Source organism: Homo sapiens, chromosome 16 (genome assembly GCF_000001405.40).
Source record: "Homo sapiens chromosome 16, GRCh38.p14 Primary Assembly".
NCBI classification, from domain to species: Eukaryota; Metazoa; Chordata; class Mammalia; order Primates; family Hominidae; genus Homo; species Homo sapiens.
This window is the reverse complement of record NC_000016.10, coordinates 89,604,826-89,621,070: the sequence shown is the minus strand read 5'-3', so window position 1 is coordinate 89,621,070 and position 16,245 is coordinate 89,604,826. Positions and strand designations below refer to the sequence as shown.

Here is a 16,245-nt window from a genome sequence, read left to right as displayed (position 1 = left end):
CCCGCCGGTTCCATCCTCTGAGAGCCTCACCCTTCACTGCCCGTGATGGCACGAGCTGAGGCCCCCCACCCGGTTCCATCCTCTGAGACTCTCGCCCTTCACTGCCTGTGATGGTGCTCCATGCTATGCTGTAGATGCCTACTCTCTGAGGTTCTCCCTCGCTGACGGTGGATCACAGGCAGTCAGAGAGGAGAGGGGCTTTCCGCCCTCATTACAGCCCTGGGCCTCAACCTGGCTGCACGCTCCCCAAAACCACAACCCCTGGCTCCCGGCTCCCCGCTCCCCGAGACTCACCATGCGCGGGACAGGGTCCCGAGTACCTCGGCTCAGCCACCCAAGTCCCAGGGAGACAGACCCGCCTCCTGCCTCCCAGGTCACAAGGCTTGGGGGTTGTTTCTGGTGTTCAAGTTCAGTCCTGCCACCCACGGAGCTCTCCAGCTACAGAACAGCCACCTCCTTGAGGGCTCGCACAGTACCCCAGGGAGAGCCGGGCTAAAGCCTCACACATGTCAGCTGGTTCTTGTTTCCGAAGATACGCATGCCCTCAGTGAGGCCTTGAGCATCCGGCCAGCCCAGGGGCTTCTGGGACTCTCGGTCCCAGGCCAGGCAGGAGAGCTTGTGCTGGGTGATCACCCTTTGAGGCCCCCCAGGCAGTAGTGTAGGGTATCTGCCTTAGGTGGCAGCAGGTTGAGAAATGGAGAGGAGGGGGCCTGGGAGCTTGGGCCCAGCCCAACGAGCCCAGAGAGTCTCAAGTGGCCTGGGGGTCCCAGGTCGTGTGTCCCCCCCACTGGCAGACCCCAGCCACCTCCCTGACTCCCTCGGAGGACACTGACCCTGGCCCCGGAGTTGGGACAAACTCCGTCCTCAGTTTCTTTATCTGTAAGTGCGATGGGTTGATCTCCCTCCATCCCCAGCCACAATCGAGGATTGGAATGTCCTCTGGCAAAGCCACACGGGCTTTCGAAATCCAAGGAGGGTCTGCGTGTGGACCGCACTGAGCTGGAGACCAGGCTGGCTTTGGAATTCTGAGGTTGCGGCGGGAGGGGGGCATACTCAGTGGGTTCAAGCAGGCGGGGGGAGGCCAGGCCTATCCCGGACCCCACCCAAGGCAGGGTGGAGACCTAGGGCTGCTGCTGGGCTAGTCACAGGGGCCCTTGGAGTCTGACATTTTCAAGCAGCCAATGATGGGCAGCAGTGGGAGGAACAGTGGGGGCTGCAGAGAGGGGAGGGGACGCAGGGGGCTGCAGAGAGGGGAGTGGGGGGCACAGGGCGCTGCAGGGAGGGGGTGCAGGGGGCTGCAGGGAGGGGAGCAGGGGGCACAGCAGGCTGCAGGGAGGGGGTGAAGGGAGTGCAGGGGGCTGCAGGGAGGGGAGCAGGGGGCAAAAGGGGTGCAGGGAGGGGAGCAGGGGGCTGCAGGGAGCTACAGGGAGGGGAGCAGAGGGAGCAGGGGGCTGCAGGGAGGGGAGCGGGGGGAGCAGGGGGACCAGGGGGCTGCAGGGAGGGGAGCGGGGGGAGCAGGGGGAAAGCGGGCTGCAGAGAGGGGAGCAGGGGGGCAGGGAGCTGCAGGGAGGGGAGCAGGGGGGCAGGGGGCTGCAGGGAGGGGAGCAGGGGGGCAGGGGGCTGCAGGGAGGGGAGCAGGGGGGCAGGGGGCTGCAGGGAGGGGAGCAGGGGGGGCAGGGGGCTGCAGGGAGGGGAGCAGGGGGGGCAGGGGGCTGCAGGGAGGGGAGCGGGGGGGCAGGGAGCTGCAGGGAGGGGAGCGGGGGGGCAGGGGGCTGCAGGGAGGGGAGCGGGGGGGCAGGGAGCTGCAGGGAGGGGAGTGGGGGGGCAGGGGGCTGCAGGGAGGGAGCAGGGAGGGCAGGGGGGCTGCAGGGAGGGGAGCGGGGGGGCAGGGAGCTGCAGGGAGGGGAGCGGGGGGGCAGGGGGCTGCAGGGAGGGGAGCAGGGGGGGCAGGGAGCTGCAGGGAGGGGAGCAGGGGGGCAGGGAGCTGCAGGGAGGGGAGCAGGGGGGGCAGGGGGCTGCAGGGAGGGGAGCAGGGGGGCAGGGAGCTGCAGGGAGGGGAGCGGGGGGGGCAGGGGGCTGCAGGGAGGGGAGCGGGGGGGCAGGGGGGCTGCAGGGAGGGGAGCAGGGGGGCAGGGAGCTGCAGGGAGGGAGCAGGGAGGGCAACCCTCCGGAAGCCAAAGGTAGAGGGTGCTGGTGGGATGTGCGTACGTAAAGAGCAAAATAAAACCAGTTTTGTGCAGGGTTCCTACCGTTCTGGTGAAAATAAAATAAATATTAATCTATAAGTTACAAAATGCGAATTGTGCAACTTTGCCCGGGGAACAGTGCAGCAATCACTTAAGCTCAGGAGTCTGAGACCAGCCGGGGCAACACAAGGAGACCTCGTCTCTACAGACATAAAGAAACTAGCCAGGCTGGTGTGTGCCTGCAGTCACAGTTACTTGGGAAGCTGAGGTGGGAAGGTTGTTGAGCCTCGGAGCTTGAGGCTGCACTCCCACCTGGGCAACATAGTGAGACCCTGTCTCAAAACTAAATGCATAAATAAATAATGTAGGCCAGACCTGGTGGTTTATGCCTGTGATCCCAGCACTTTGGGTGGCCAAGGCGGGAGGATCGCTTGAGGCCAGGAGTTTGAGACCAGCCTGGGAAACATAGGGAGACCCCCATCTCTACAAAAAATATAAAAATTAGCCAAGCGTGGTGGCACACACTTGTGGTCTTGGCTACATAGCAGACCGAGGCAGGAAGATGGCTTGAGTCCAGGAGGTTTAAGCTACAGTGAGCCGTGATCCTACCACTGCACTCCAGCCCGGGTGACAGAGCAAGACCTTGTCAAGATGGATAAACAAACTAATAAATTAATTAAAATAAAAATGTGAATTGTACAATTTTGTTGATTCTGTATGAGTTAAATCCTATTCTATTTGCATTTAAGCCAAGTATTACACAATATGAAGATAAATGGTAAATACATGCTAATAATTTAAAATTTTAATTTTTCTTGACTTAGAATGATGATTTTTTATTTTTATTTTTTTATATTTTTTGAGACTGAGTCTCGCTCTGTCGCCCAGGATGGAGTGCAGGGGCACAATCTCAGCTCACTGCAACCTCCGTCTCCCAGGTTCAAGTGATTCTTGTGCCTCAGCCTCCCGAGTAGCTGGGATTACAGGTGCATGCCACCACACACAGCTAATTTTTGTATTTTTAGTAGAGATGGGGTTTCACCATGTTGGCCAGGCTAGTCTCAAACTCCTGACCTCAAATGATCTGCCCGTCTTGGCCTCCCACAGCGCTGGGATTACAGGTGTGAGCCACTGCGCCCGGCCTCCCAAAGTGCTGGGATTACAGGTGTGAGCCACCGTGCCCAACCTCCCAAAGTGCTGGGATTACAGGTGTGAGCCGCCGCGCCCGGCCTCCCAAAGTGCTGGGATTACAGGTGTGAGCCGCCGCGCCCGGCCTCCCAAAGTGCTGGGATTACAGGTGTGAGCCGCCGCGCCCGGCCGCCTTCCAGCATTTCTGGCACAGACCGGCACAGGTGTGGGCTCCTGTCCTTTGCATGTTGTTGGCTTTCTGTTGACCAGATGGCCTGGAGACCTCCTGGCGTGGATGCTTCCACCTCATTCTCTGTAACATGTGCGCAAGCCTCAGAGCTCATGTTAGCTGAGCAATTCTTCCATGCAGGCACCGTGCTGAGGGAGCTCCTGTGGCCTCGTGAGGCAGGAGCGCTTTTCCCCTCACCTCTCAGGGCCCTGGGCCTTGGTGCCTGCCTACCTCTCCCACCTCCACCCAGCTCAGCCGTGAGTCTTCATGCAGTGTCCTCAGGGCATCACATGAGAGCCCCAAGCACCCCATCTCTCTGCCACTCCCTCTCCCTTGTTCTAGCTCCACCCTGTCTTGATTCCTGGCAATTCTAATAAGAGAGAATTGTCCCCAACCCTGGCCAAGCAATTCCCTGACATGTAATGACCTGTGCTACCCTCACCTTGCTCGGGTGGGGCCAGACCTTCACTGCAGTCCCATCACCCCACCCCTCCCTTCCCCTTCTGCTCCAGGGCCTGCCCAGGACCTCCAGCCTCCCGCCCCATTCTCTGCCAGACTCCATCATCCCCTCTGGAGCCGTCACGCCGCTCGGTAAAACCTGCCCGCTTCCTACCCGCTTCCTGGCCGCTCTCTGCCTGCTTCCCGGCCGCTTCCTGCCCACTTCCTGCCTGCTTCCTGGCCACTTCCTGTCCGCTTCCTGGCCACTTCCTGGCCGCTTTCTGCCTGCTTCCTGCCCACTTCCTGCCTGCTTCCTGGCCGCTTCCTGGTCGCTCTCTGCCTGCTTCCCAGCCACTTCCTGCCAGCGTGCGTTTGCACTGCCCTTCGCGGAGTGTGCTGAGGGGAGAAGGCCCAGCCGTCCCAATCTGCGCTACTTTGAATTCCTGATCACAAACTTCAAGGAACCTCTTTAAGCCACCCGGGAATCCTGCTGCAGGTCCCAGTGCCAGAACCAGAAGCATCTGTGCCATCTGGGAACATTCTGGTGGAGCAATCGCCCTGTCCTCGAGGTCGGCCATACACGCTGGGTCTTCACCACCCCGGGGATGCAGATGCCTCCTGGCGACCCCCTCCTCCATCCAAGGACCCCTCCCGGCACAGCCCCGAGCACACCCGCTGTCTCCCCTCCTTTCCGCCCGTCTGTCCGATCCTCTCACAGCTGGCTGGGCCATACTGCTCTGTGAAACTGTGCCCGGTCAGCCCCGGAGTGGGTGACCCAGGACCCGCTGGCTGTGTCCTTCCAGGGCACAGGTCCCAGCCTCTCCTGTTTCGTCGACACTGGCTACCTGTGTGGGCTTGTCTGTTTCTGGGCTCTGAGCCCTATCCCCACAGCACTGACTCCCCCACCCACCTGAACCCCCAGCCCAGCCCCCGAAGCCCCACGGACCCAGCCTCCTGCTGCGCACCCCAGCTGGAGTTCAGGGAGCATTTTAAATTCACTTTTTGTGTTTTTTTTTTGAGATGAAGTCTTGCTCTGTCACCCAGGCTGGAGTGCAGTGGTGTGATCTCAGCTCACTGAAACCTCTGCCTCCCAGGTTCAAGTAATTCTCCTGCCTGGGGACACGACACGTAGGGGACGCCTGAGCCCTGCGCCTTTGGGCCTCAGTATCTGTGAAATGGGCCTGTGAAAGGGGTGGACACTCAGAGGCCAGGGCGGGCCTTGGTGCTTGGTCTCCCTCCACACAGCCCACTCCTCTCCAATTCACACCCCACCAGCCGGCCAGGACCCCGGGGCCCCCGTGTTGACCGCCTGCCTGGCTGCTGCAGCTCCTGCCCTCTGGTGGCCAAATCCCAACGTGCCTCCGTGGGGCCGGTTCCCGGCTCCAGTTCACCGGGGCCTCGCGGGGTCCTGCAAGGCGGGGTCCTGGGGGCTCACTTCACCCAAGAACCAGCTGCTCCTCCCTCAGGGTGGGCTCTGCCTGTGGGCTCTGAAGACCTGGGAAGGCTGAGCAGGTGCTCGGAGCCACCACTGCTTCCATGGGTGTCCTGCCCTTTAACCCACGCCCTCACCCCTGAGAGCAAGGCTGCTGTTACCCCTGTCTCCTACTCTTGGAAACTGAGGTAGAGAAGACAGGTCCAGCCCCCTGGCTCATGGGAGATGGAGCCAGGATGTACGCACAGGACACAGGTCCAGAGACTCCAGAGCTGCGTGTAGACCAGCACCACTGCCCTGCCAGGCCCGCCTGCCCGCTCTGTACCCAGTGGGAGCTGGGAGCCTCAGCCCGACCTGTGAGGCCACCCCTCAGGGGCGGCTCTGAGAGGCCGCTTTGGGGCTCAGTGTCCGTCCACCGCAGCCTACGTCCCCCTGAAGCTGCAAGCAGGGACTGAGGGACCCTCCCCGTCTGCTCCTGGCCTCCGACTGGAGATTTGTCAAAGCTGACCTTTTGTCGACAAGGAGACTGAGGCCCAGCGGGAGGTATTTTAGAGACACTTCCACGTTTGGAGGCCCTAGATGCCCCCTTCCACCCATGACACCCACTGAGCTTCTCCATGGGGTCAGACGCCAATCAGCAAGAATTCGCCAAGAGATGTGGAGGCTACTAGACCCTCACCATGAAAATAGCTTGGCTGTGTAAGAGCCATTGGCCGAAGTAGGTTCTGCCCTTCGCTAGCCCAGCCGCAGCTCCAGACTCCAACTTCCGCCTGTGCCCAAGGCTTTCTCTCTAGCATGTCCTGTGATAACCCTGAAGCTCCCCGCACCCTACCCGGGGAGAAGATTTTTCTTTTATTTTTTTGGATACGGAGTCTCGCTCTGTCACTCAGGCTGGAGTGCAGTGGCACGATCTCAGCTCACCGCAACCTCCGCCTCCCGGGTTCACGCCATTCTCCTGCTTCAGCCTCCCGAGTAGCTGGGACTACAGGCGCCCGCCACCACGCCCGGCTAATTTTTTGTATTTTTTATTAGAGACGGGGTTTCACCGTGTTAGCCAGGATGGTCTCGATCTCCTGACCTCATGATCTGCCCACCTCGGCCTCCCACAGTGTGGGGATTACAGGCGTGAGCCACCGCGCCCGGCCACAGCTTTGATTTTCATTCAGCAAATCCTTTCCACCTGGAAGGAAATTGTGGGGCCGGACAACAGGCCCTGCTCTTAGCTGGGCGGGAAGGCAGATGACTGCGCAGAGAATTCCAGAACAGAGAGTAAGTCCGGGGACTCGGCGCTCCTCACACAGCCTCTGAGAACTCTTCCTGGAGGAAGGGGTACGTGAGCTGAGTCCCAAGGGTGCCTAGGACCGCACTGGGCGCCACAAGGAAGGAACAGCCGGCACAGTGGACAAGCGGGGTTGTGGGGCCTCTGGAGGGCCTGGCGGGTCCAGACCTCATCCTAGGGACCACGGGGAGGGCCAGTGGGAGGACAGCGGCGGGTCTGAGAGCAGCTCTCCCACCTCCTTGAGTCCCAGGAAGCCGCCGCGTCCCCTGCCCCACACACCTGGCCCCAGTTTCCTAGAATCCCAGGAAGCAGCCGCGTCCCCTGCCCCACACACCTGGCCCCAGTTTCCTAGAATCCCAGGAAGCAGCCGCGTCCCCTGCCCCACACACCTGGTGCCAGCCTCCTAGAATCCCAGGAAGCTGCCTCGTCCCCTGCCCCACACACCTGGTCCCAGCCTCCTAGAATCCCAGGAAGCCGCCCCGTCCCCTGCCGCACACACCTGGCCTCAGCCTCCTAGAATCCCAGGAAGCCGCCGCGTCCCCTGCCCCGCACGCCTGGTCCCAGCTTCCACCCACAGTGGTGCCCTGGGGTCCCCGGGCCTGCACCACCCCAGGTGGGCACCCCAGTACCCTGGCGCACCGACTCCCCAGCCCACTCACCCTGGCCTCTGCGATGCAGACTTGCTCCCTGGCAGGGCCCGGCCTAGGCAGCTCCCACGCCAGGCTCACAGCTGGGCTGGCCCTACCCGGCCACCTGCTGCCCCTCCCAGGCCCCTCCTCAGGAAGGTGAAACTGCCCCATTTCCTGCAGGAACCCTGTGTTCTCTGAAAGTAGAAAGAGGAGGGAAATGGAGGAGGGGAGGGGAAGGTTGGAGAGAAAGGGCCAGGGGTCGGAAGGAAGGGCTGCAGGAGGGAGAGAGGAGGAGGGAGAGAGGAGGAGGGAACTTTGCTCCAGGAGATGGCTCTGCGTCCTGACCTCCCCCAAGGCTAGAAACTTCTCCAGCAGCTTCCTCATTTCCTGAGAGTGCCCTGAGATGTCCTGGCAGTGTTTTTCCCTCATGTGTGGATGTGCCACCTCCCAGCCAGGGGGGTGCGTGCACAGCTGTGCTGTCCAGCTCTGTGATGTCAGATCTTAGAGAATGCTACACATCAGTACACATAAGCCATCTGTGTCCTTTTTCTCATGCATTTTCGTTGTGAAAATACAACATGTATACCAACAAGACATATAGGTGTTGGGAGGGAAACTGAGGCAGGGCTTGCATGATGTCCTTTGGAATGTGTCTAGACTTGCTGGCTCCTTCCTTCTAGCCCTCCTAGGCCCCTATTCCCATTATCTCAAGTAGCAGAACATGCTCCATATAAATGCTAAACCGGCACAGCTGTAATCATGTGCTTAATGCAACGTGGTCTTTTGACCTCCATATTCTCACCATCTGTTTCTTTGTTGCATTACCAATAAATACCGTGGGCTCCCAGAGCTCGGGCTTTTGCAGCCTCCACAATAGCGATGGCCCCCTGGTGTGCCACCTTTCTCTCTCTGTGTTTTTCTGAATCCTTTGACTCCGCCGGACTTTGTCACCCCCACGACCTGGGGTTGGGTCTGATCACCCCAACATATAGGTACTGTACCTTTACACAGAAACTACACAGGTGTTCGTAGCAGGACAATTTAGTATAGCCAAAATGTGGGAAGAGTGCAGATGCCCAACACGGGGACAGATAAATGTGTCTCTTCACGCAGTGGAGTATTACTCAGCCATGAAGAAGAGTGACGTGCTGACACGTGCTATAACATGAAGAACCTCAGAAACATTTCGCTAAGTGGCAGAAGCCAGATAGTCGGGTGTGGTGGTGCGCACCTGTGGTCTCTGCTGTGAGGCTGAGGCAGGAGGAGCGCCTGAGCCTGGGAGACTGAGGTTACAGTGAGCTGCGATCACGCCATTGCACTTCAGCCTGGGCCGCAGAGTGGGAGCCTGTCTCAGAAAAGAAAGAAAGAAGCTAGACTCAAAAGACCACATGTCGTGTGATTCCACTTATATGAAATGTCCAGAATAAGTGACTCCATAGACACAGAAGGTGGATTCATGGTTGTTGAGGCTGTGAAGGAAAGTGGGGAGTGGGTGCTAATGGGAATGGGTTTCTATTTGGGGCAATGACTTTTTTTTTTTTTTTTTTGAGACAGAGTCTTGCTCTGTCGCCCAGGCTGGAGTGCAGTGGCGCGATCTCAGCTCGCTGCAACCTCCACCTCCTGGCTTCACGCCATTCTCCTGCCTCAGCCTCCCGAGTAGCTGGGACTACAGGCGCCCGCCACCACGCCCGGCTAATTTTTTGTATTTCTTTTTTAGTAGAGACGGGGTTTCACCGTGTTAGCCAGGATGGTCTCGATCTCCTGACCTCGTGATCCGCCCGCCTCGGCCTCCCAGTGTGATACCCAACCTTGTTTTAACCTAAGTGACCTTCTCGTAGCAGAGAGAGCGCCGGACAGACTCCATTTTAGTTTCTTCACCTGCAGCCCCCTTCACCTCCCTCCCTTAAGGCTTAACTAGTGTGACTGACTCAAAGCACGTCTGGGAATGCACCTACTGATAAGATACTGAGGCAAGCTGCACCAGCAGCTCCTCGGGACGCGCTCGGTGGATGGCACCCGAAGCCCCTGCATTTATCTCTTTGTGATAGTTTAAGCCCCTGCACCTGGAGCTGTTTATTTTTTGTAACTGCATTTGTAACCAATTAATTTTTTAACTTTTTGCCAGTTCTGCTTCTATAAAAATTGCTTCAGTTAAACTCCCCCCCCCCATTTAGACCACGGTATACAAACAAAGCTAGCCCCTTCCTCAGGGCCGAGAGAATTTTGAGCATTAGCGGCCTCTCGGTCGCAGGCTAATAAAGGACTCCTTAATTTGTCTCAAAGTGTGGTGTTTCTCTATAACTCGCTTGGTTACAACACCAAAGTGCTGGGATTACAGGCGTGAGCCCCTGTGCCCTGCGAGGGCAATGAAAATTTTTAAATTAAAAATCTGGAATTAAATAGTAGTGATGGCTGTGCGACTCTGAATATTCTAAAAACATTCAATTGTGCACACTAAAGGGATGGATTTTATGGTGTGTGAATTGTCTCAATAAAGCTTCTATAAAAATATAAGTACAGTTATCCAGGCACGGTGGCTCATGCCTGTGATCCCAGCACTTTGGGAGGCCGAGGTGGGCGGATCACTTGAAGTCGGGAGTTTGAAACCAGCCTGGGCAACGTGGTGAAACCCCATCTCTACTAAAAATGCAAAATTTAGCCAGACGTGGTGACATGCGCCTGCAGTCCCATCTACTTAGGAAGCTGAGGCAGGAGAAGTGTTTGAACCCAGGAGGTGTAGGTTGCAGTGAGCTGAGATCGTGCCACTGCCCTCCAGCCTTGGCAACAGAGTGAGTCTCTGTCTCAAAATAAACAAATACATAAAAATAAAAAAAATTATGGGCCAGGCACGGTGGCTCACGCCTGTAATACCAGCACTTTGGGAGGCCGAGGCGGGTGGATCACCTAAGGTCAGCAGTTCAAGACCAGCCTGGCCAACATGGTGAAACCCTGTCTCTACTAAAAATACAAAAAATAGCCGGGCGTGGTGACGGGCGCCTGTAGTCCCAGCTACTCGGGAGGCTGAGGCAGGAGAATCGCTTGAACCCAGGAGGTGAAGGTTGCAGTGAGCCGAGATCGTGCCTCTGCACTCCAGCCTGGGCGACAGAGCGAGTCTCCATCTCAAAAAAAAAAAAAAAAAAAGAACCTGAAAATAATGAAAGATCTGATGAGAGTTCATTATAAAAACAACACACAATGAATTCTGGTTGTTTTTGTGACACACGACGTATTAAATAACAACTGAAATCATGAACAGTAACAGAGGCGAACAGATCGGATAACAAGGGCATTGACAAATTTTTAGGACATTTATATAATTTCTGAAATAGCAACATTTTAACTATATAAATATAATGTATGGAAAGTTAAGTGTCTTTTGACAATGCTTCCCATGTAATTGAATATATCAAATAAACTGAATTAGTTTAACATCTCCCTTTTAACAAGGTGGTAGAACAAATCCTTTGAAACTGTCAGTTTCAAAGATTTGACAGTTTCAAAGGATTTGAGTTTTGAGATTTTCCAGGGACCTTCTAGAAAACTTCAAAGTCCGTTTGAGGTCAAGAAGATTTAATTTAGAATTTGATTCTGATTTTGGGAAGTTGGCAAAGATGTCAAAAGATCTGAAAACTTAAATAAAATAGGATCATATGTCATCGTGAAACAATATTTCGTTATCTGTTTAACCAAAGTGACAATAAAGATTTCAAAGGTAAATAAAGGTGATAACATAAGACAATAAACCAACACATGTATAAGAGGGAAAGAGTGTGAACCTCCAGGGCCCATCTGGAGGATAATGGTTAAAAAAAACCATGGGTTGGACACAGTGGCTCACGTCTGTAAGCCCAGCACGTTCCCATTTGTGTTTTGTTTTGTTTTGCTTTTTAAACAGAGTCTCGCCCTGTCACCCAGCCTGGAGTGCAGTGGTGTGATGTCGGCTCACTGCAACCTCCACCTCCTGGGTTCAAGCCGTTCTCTGCCTGAGCCTCCCGAGTAGCTGGGATAATAGGCATGAGCCACCAAACCTGGCTAATTTTTGTATTTTTAGTAGACACGGGGTTTCACCATATTGGCCAGGCTGTGGTTTTTTTTGTTTTTTTGTTTTTTTAAGACGGAGTCTCACTCTGTCGCCCAGGCTGGAGTGCAGTGGCGCCATCTCAGCTCACTGCAAGCTCCGCCTGCCGGGTTCACACCATTCTCTCGCCTCAGCCTCCCGAGTAGCTGGGACTACAGGAGTGAGCCACTGCGCCCGGCCAGCCAGGCCGGTCTTAAACTCTTGACCTCAAGTGATCCGCCCGCCTCGGCCTCCCAAAGTGCTGGGATTACAGGCATGAGTCACTGCGCCCGGCTGCATCTCTGTTTTAAATAAATTTATAAACTAATAAAATAAACATGGCTGGGCAGGTGGCTCACGCCTGTAATCCAGCACTTTGGGAGGCCGAGGCGGATTACATGGGTTGATTACATGAGTTTAGGAGTTCGAGACCAGCCTGGCCAATGTGGAGAAACCCCTTCTCTACTAAAAATATAAAAAGTAGCTGGGCATGGTGGTGGGCGCCTGTAGTCCCAGCTACTCGGGAGGTTGAGGCAGGAGAACGGCTTGAACCTGGGAGGTGGAGGTTGCAGTGAGCTGAGATCGCGTCATTGCACTCCAGCCTCAGTGACAGAGCGAGACTCTGTCCCCGCCACACAAAAAAAACAACAACGAGGCAGCTCCCTATACACTGACGAGCAAGTCTTCAGGATGTTGGCTGCAGGCAGCACTGTAGGGAATGAGGCATTTTGTGTCCGCGGTGTCGCCTAACAAGGTGTGGCTGGGAACACACACAAGGCAGCACCCGGGTGTTAGTGAGGGACGAATAGAGAAGACCCTGTGTGCCCCATGCTACAACCTTCACATCGCTTTGCTCCACATGAGGCTGTTGCTGGATTCACCACTTGGAACACACACATTTAAAAATTATATAAAAATGATGGTTCTAGGATGGCAGAGGCAAGCCTTCTGCGTCTGTACTGAGGACACAGACGAGGTGGATCCACCTCTGGCGCCCACGCCACCCTGAGCCAGCAGCATTTTCCTAACAGGAAACCAGTGTTATCTTTTAGAAATCAAAGACACTCAAGCGTTGCTAATATAACGCCTGCACTTTGGCCTGGCTCTGGATGTACCGGGCTCTGGATTCCTCTGCTTAATTGTCCTAGGAGGGGCCGCATTGTGTTAATGAGTAAACTGAGGCACAATAACTTTTAAAGTGTTCATTTAGCAAACAGCAATTAACGACTCGGGCAGCTCCAAACCAGCAGGTGGCCGTGGAGGCACCAAGTGACTCCAGAGGGAGCCGGGACAGACGGGGCAGACCTGAGACAACGCTTGGTGGGCAAAGGTGGCAGTGGCTGCATTTGGTCGGTTCCCTTGGAGGCCACGCGGCTCCAACTGACCTTCTGAGTTTGTGGGTTCCCCATGTGCAGAGTAACCAACACAGACTGAAACTTTTGGAAAAAAATTCCAGAAAGTTTCAAAAAGCAAAATTGGAATCCGCTGCACATCCATCCTAAAGTGCAGTGCGGGCGTCCCGCTAGCCACGAGCACCTCCGAGCTGAAGACGACGGGACACACACAGAGACAGTTACGTGCAAAGATGACACCAGTTTCTATCAGGGACTTGAGCATCCATGGATTGTATGATCTACTGGGGTCCCGGAACCCATCCCCGCAAACGTCAAGGGCCACTGTGCTGAGACCAGCTCGGCTGTGGAGACCCTAACCCAGCGGCGCTAGAGGAATTAAGACAAAGACACGGGGACAGAGTATAAAGTGGGGATCGGGGGCTGACAGCCTTCAGAGCCGATGGGGATCGGGGGCTGACAGCCTTCAGAGCTGAGAGCCCTGAACAGAGCTTGACCCACACGTTTATTGACAGAAAGCCAGTGATAAGCATTGCTTGTATAGATTATAGATCAGCTAAAAGCATTCCTTATGGGAAACAAATTCTCAGTGAGGAACAGAGAAACAGGCTCCGGCTGATTATCTGCAGCAAAAACATGTTAAGGCACAGGCCGCTCCTGCTATCGGTTGTGGTTTGAGCAGTTTTCCGCTCCGGGTGGGCCAGGTGTTCCTTGCCCTGCTCCAGTAAACCAACAACTTTTAGCAGTGTGTGTGACAGCCATCACGAGCATGTCACATTGCTGCAGAAATGCTGTTTACGGCCATTTCTTGAAGGCCTGTTTAGGCCAGGCTCAGGGTCTCTGTTCCCAACACCACTGTGTACGTATATTGGCTGCTTCTGATGTGTTGAGCCTAAGTCCTATTCTTCTAGCTCAAGTAAAGTTTCAATTATGTTTACGAATCAAACAACATTGAGGTTACTTATGAGGCCTAATTGGTTCTGTCTGTGCAGGATTCTTCAGGCCTGGTGTCCCTTGAGATTTAATAATTCTCACCTCTGGCTGGGCGCAGTGGCTCACGCCTGTAATCCCAGCACTTTGGGAGGCCGAGGCGGGCGGATCACGAGGTCAGGAGATCGAGACCATCCTGGCTAACACGGCGAAACCCCGTCTCTACTAAAAAATAGAAAAAATTAGCCAGGCATGGTGGCAGGCACCTGTAGTCCCAGTTACTCAGGAGGCTGACGCAGGAGAATGGCGTGAACCCGGGAGGCGGAGGTTGCAGTGAGCCGAGATCGCACCACTGCACTCTAGCCTGGGAGACAGAGCGAGACTCTGTCTCAAAAAAATAATAATTTTCACCTCCGCAGGCGTGGTGGCTTACGCCTGTAATCCCAGCACTTTGGGAGGCCGAGGTGGGTGGATCACCTGAAGTTAGGAGTTCAAGACTAGCCTGGCTAACATGGTGAAACCCCATCTCTACTAAAAATGCAAAAAAATTAGCCGGGTGTGGCGGTGTGTGCCCATAATCCCAGCTACTTTTTTTTTTTTTTTTTGAGACGGAGTCCCACTCTTGTTACCCAGGCTGGAGTGCAGTGGCGCGATCTCGGCTCACTGCAACCTCTGCCTCCTGGATTCAAGGATTCTCTGCCTCAGCCTCCCGAGTAGTTGGGATTACAGGCGCCCGCCACCACGCCCAGCTAATTTTTTGTATTTTTAGTAGAGATGGGGTTTCACCATGTTGGCCAGGATGGTCTCAAACTCCTGACCTCAGCTGATCCACCTGCCTCGGCCTCCCACAGTGCTGGGATTACAGGCATGAGCCACTGTGTCCAGCCAATCCCAGCTACTCTTGCTGAGGCAAGAGAATCACCTCCAGCCTGGGAGGTGGAGGTTGCAGTGAGCCGAGATCACACCACTGCACTCCAGCCTGAGTGACAGAGTGGGACTCTGTCTCAAAATAAATAAATAATAATAATTCTCACCTCATCCTGGCAGATGGGTCTCTTTTCTGCCCCTCCTGGAGCAGAGCTGACACCCAGGGCTGGGGGAACAGCCCTGGAGGCATCCCAGATCCTCTCCCCGCCCCCCGGAGCCTTCTGACCCAGGTTAGTCCAATCCCATCCCTCCCCACTCTGGCCTGCCCCTGCCTTGGCCACCACCTGCTCCTGGGCTTCGTGGCACAGATGTTTCCAGAGAGGAGCTTTCTTGGCACGGCCGGTGGAGGTGACGTGGTGGTGAGTGCGGGGACTCGACCTCAGGCACCTGGGCTGTTCTGCCGTCCTCCCTGGAGGCAGGGGAAGGGGAAGGCAAGACAGCATGAGGACTGATGGCAGGGGCTGCCTGGGAATCCAGACCCACCCCTGCCTGCGGGAGCCCCCCCTCACACCAGCCCAGGCCGGGCAGCTGCTACGTGAAGATTGAATGGAGGTTTTTGCCTGGGAGGTGAGGACTGTGGCAGAATCTACCACGGCCGCCCCACCGTGGCTCTGAGGCTTCTGGGAGGGAGACAGGTACTCCCCAAGGGCCCTTCCCACCGGAGGCCCACGCATCCCAGCCACGCCCGTTTGCCACTGAAGAGCAGACTACAGGGACCGTGGGTGGTGCTGGCAGCGGAATCCCACAGCCCCGGGGCCAGCGGGTACTTGCCCAGAGCACCGTCTCTCTCCTGCTGAGGAAAGGCCTTCCCTGGCCAAGGCGGCAGGCAAGGCTGACGAGGGCTGAGGCTGGTCCTGGGAGGGCACCTGAATGTGGGCCTCTGCTAGTATTTAACGGTGGGGATGGCGGAGCTGGTGTCCACCTGCTAGAACCTGCCTGGGCCTCTGGTAGGGCACGTGTGGATAACAGACCCCCCCACGGAGCCCTCCGGCTGCACTCCCTGCCTGCGCCACCCGGCAGGCACTGACCCACAGCAGAGGACGCAGTAGACAGGGACGTGGTCCAGGCCATCACCTGCACCTGCTTGCCAGGGAACATGCGCGCCCAGGAGCCCTGGCAGGACGCACGTAACTTCCAGTCCCAGGACACCGACGTCCACCTGGTGACATTGCCCAAGTCAGGTAAGGTGCGGTGGCTGGGGCGAGGTCTGGGCAGGATGGCTCACACTACACCATCCACACTGCCCCAGCAGGCCTCAGTCCCCCCAGACACTGGGGACTGAACCCCACCACCCGAACCCCCTTGCAGGCACCTGTGCAGCCCATGGGAGCCCAAGGGCTGCCTCTCCGGCCTTGTAACAGAACGGCCTTCCAGACAAGGGAGTACGTCTGCCGTGGTCAATTTCAGGCACCAGTCAACACCTGGGGCCTCCGCAGAGCCTTCATGGTCTCCTTGGCAATGCATCCCACCAACCTGGCCGCCTAGGCCCGACTCCCCAGCCGCAACGTCCTCACCCAGGGCCACCCGCAGCCGCTGCTCCCCACCCCACCCGCTCTTGTGTGTCTGTTGGCCCACAAGTCTGTCTGGACTTTTGTGTGGACACCGATGTGTAGCTGTGTGTCTGCAGGAAGGACGTTAACTGGGTGTGGGGATCATGT

The 16,245-nt window shown here is 56.4% G+C and overlaps 1 protein-coding gene across 7 annotated transcripts in view, besides 3 other annotated features; it reads right to left on the bottom strand.

The window, feature by feature from the left end:
* The window catches only part of DPEP1 (dipeptidase 1), a 28,233-nt gene extending 20,470 nt beyond the window's left edge, over positions 1-7,763 (bottom strand). For 2 of the 7 annotated variants that reach the window (NM_001389470.1, NM_001389466.1), the window contains exon 1: positions 7,352-7,429. The gene's annotated coding sequence lies outside the window, so the exon portion shown is untranslated. Of the gene's footprint in view, positions 1-294; positions 475-833; positions 1,028-4,156; positions 4,187-7,351; positions 7,430-7,666 lie in introns of those variants that run through there. The other 5 variants (XM_047433691.1, XM_047433690.1, NM_001128141.3 and 2 more) reach the window with 4 other exon arrangements.
* Positions 4,858-5,560: an enhancer, noted in NCBI's record as "H3K4me1 hESC enhancer chr16:89681919-89682621 (GRCh37/hg19 assembly coordinates)". NCBI's record gives its function as "activates a minimal SCP1, AML or CMV promoter by ChIP-STARR-seq in primed H9 embryonic stem cells {active_cell/tissue: H9 hESC(primed)}" and the evidence as "EXISTENCE:reporter gene assay evidence [ECO:0000049][PMID:30033119]".
* Positions 5,561-6,265: an enhancer, noted in NCBI's record as "H3K4me1 hESC enhancer chr16:89681214-89681918 (GRCh37/hg19 assembly coordinates)". NCBI's record gives its function as "activates a minimal SCP1, AML or CMV promoter by ChIP-STARR-seq in naive and primed H9 embryonic stem cells {active_cell/tissue: H9 hESC(naive and primed)}" and the evidence as "EXISTENCE:reporter gene assay evidence [ECO:0000049][PMID:30033119]".
* Positions 7,671-7,829: a silencer, noted in NCBI's record as "fragment chr16:89679650-89679808 (GRCh37/hg19 assembly coordinates)". NCBI's record gives its function as "represses an EF-1alpha promoter that drives an FKBP-Casp9 reporter gene in an ReSE screen in HepG2 liver carcinoma cells {active_cell/tissue: HepG2}" and the evidence as "EXISTENCE:reporter gene assay evidence [ECO:0000049][PMID:32094911]".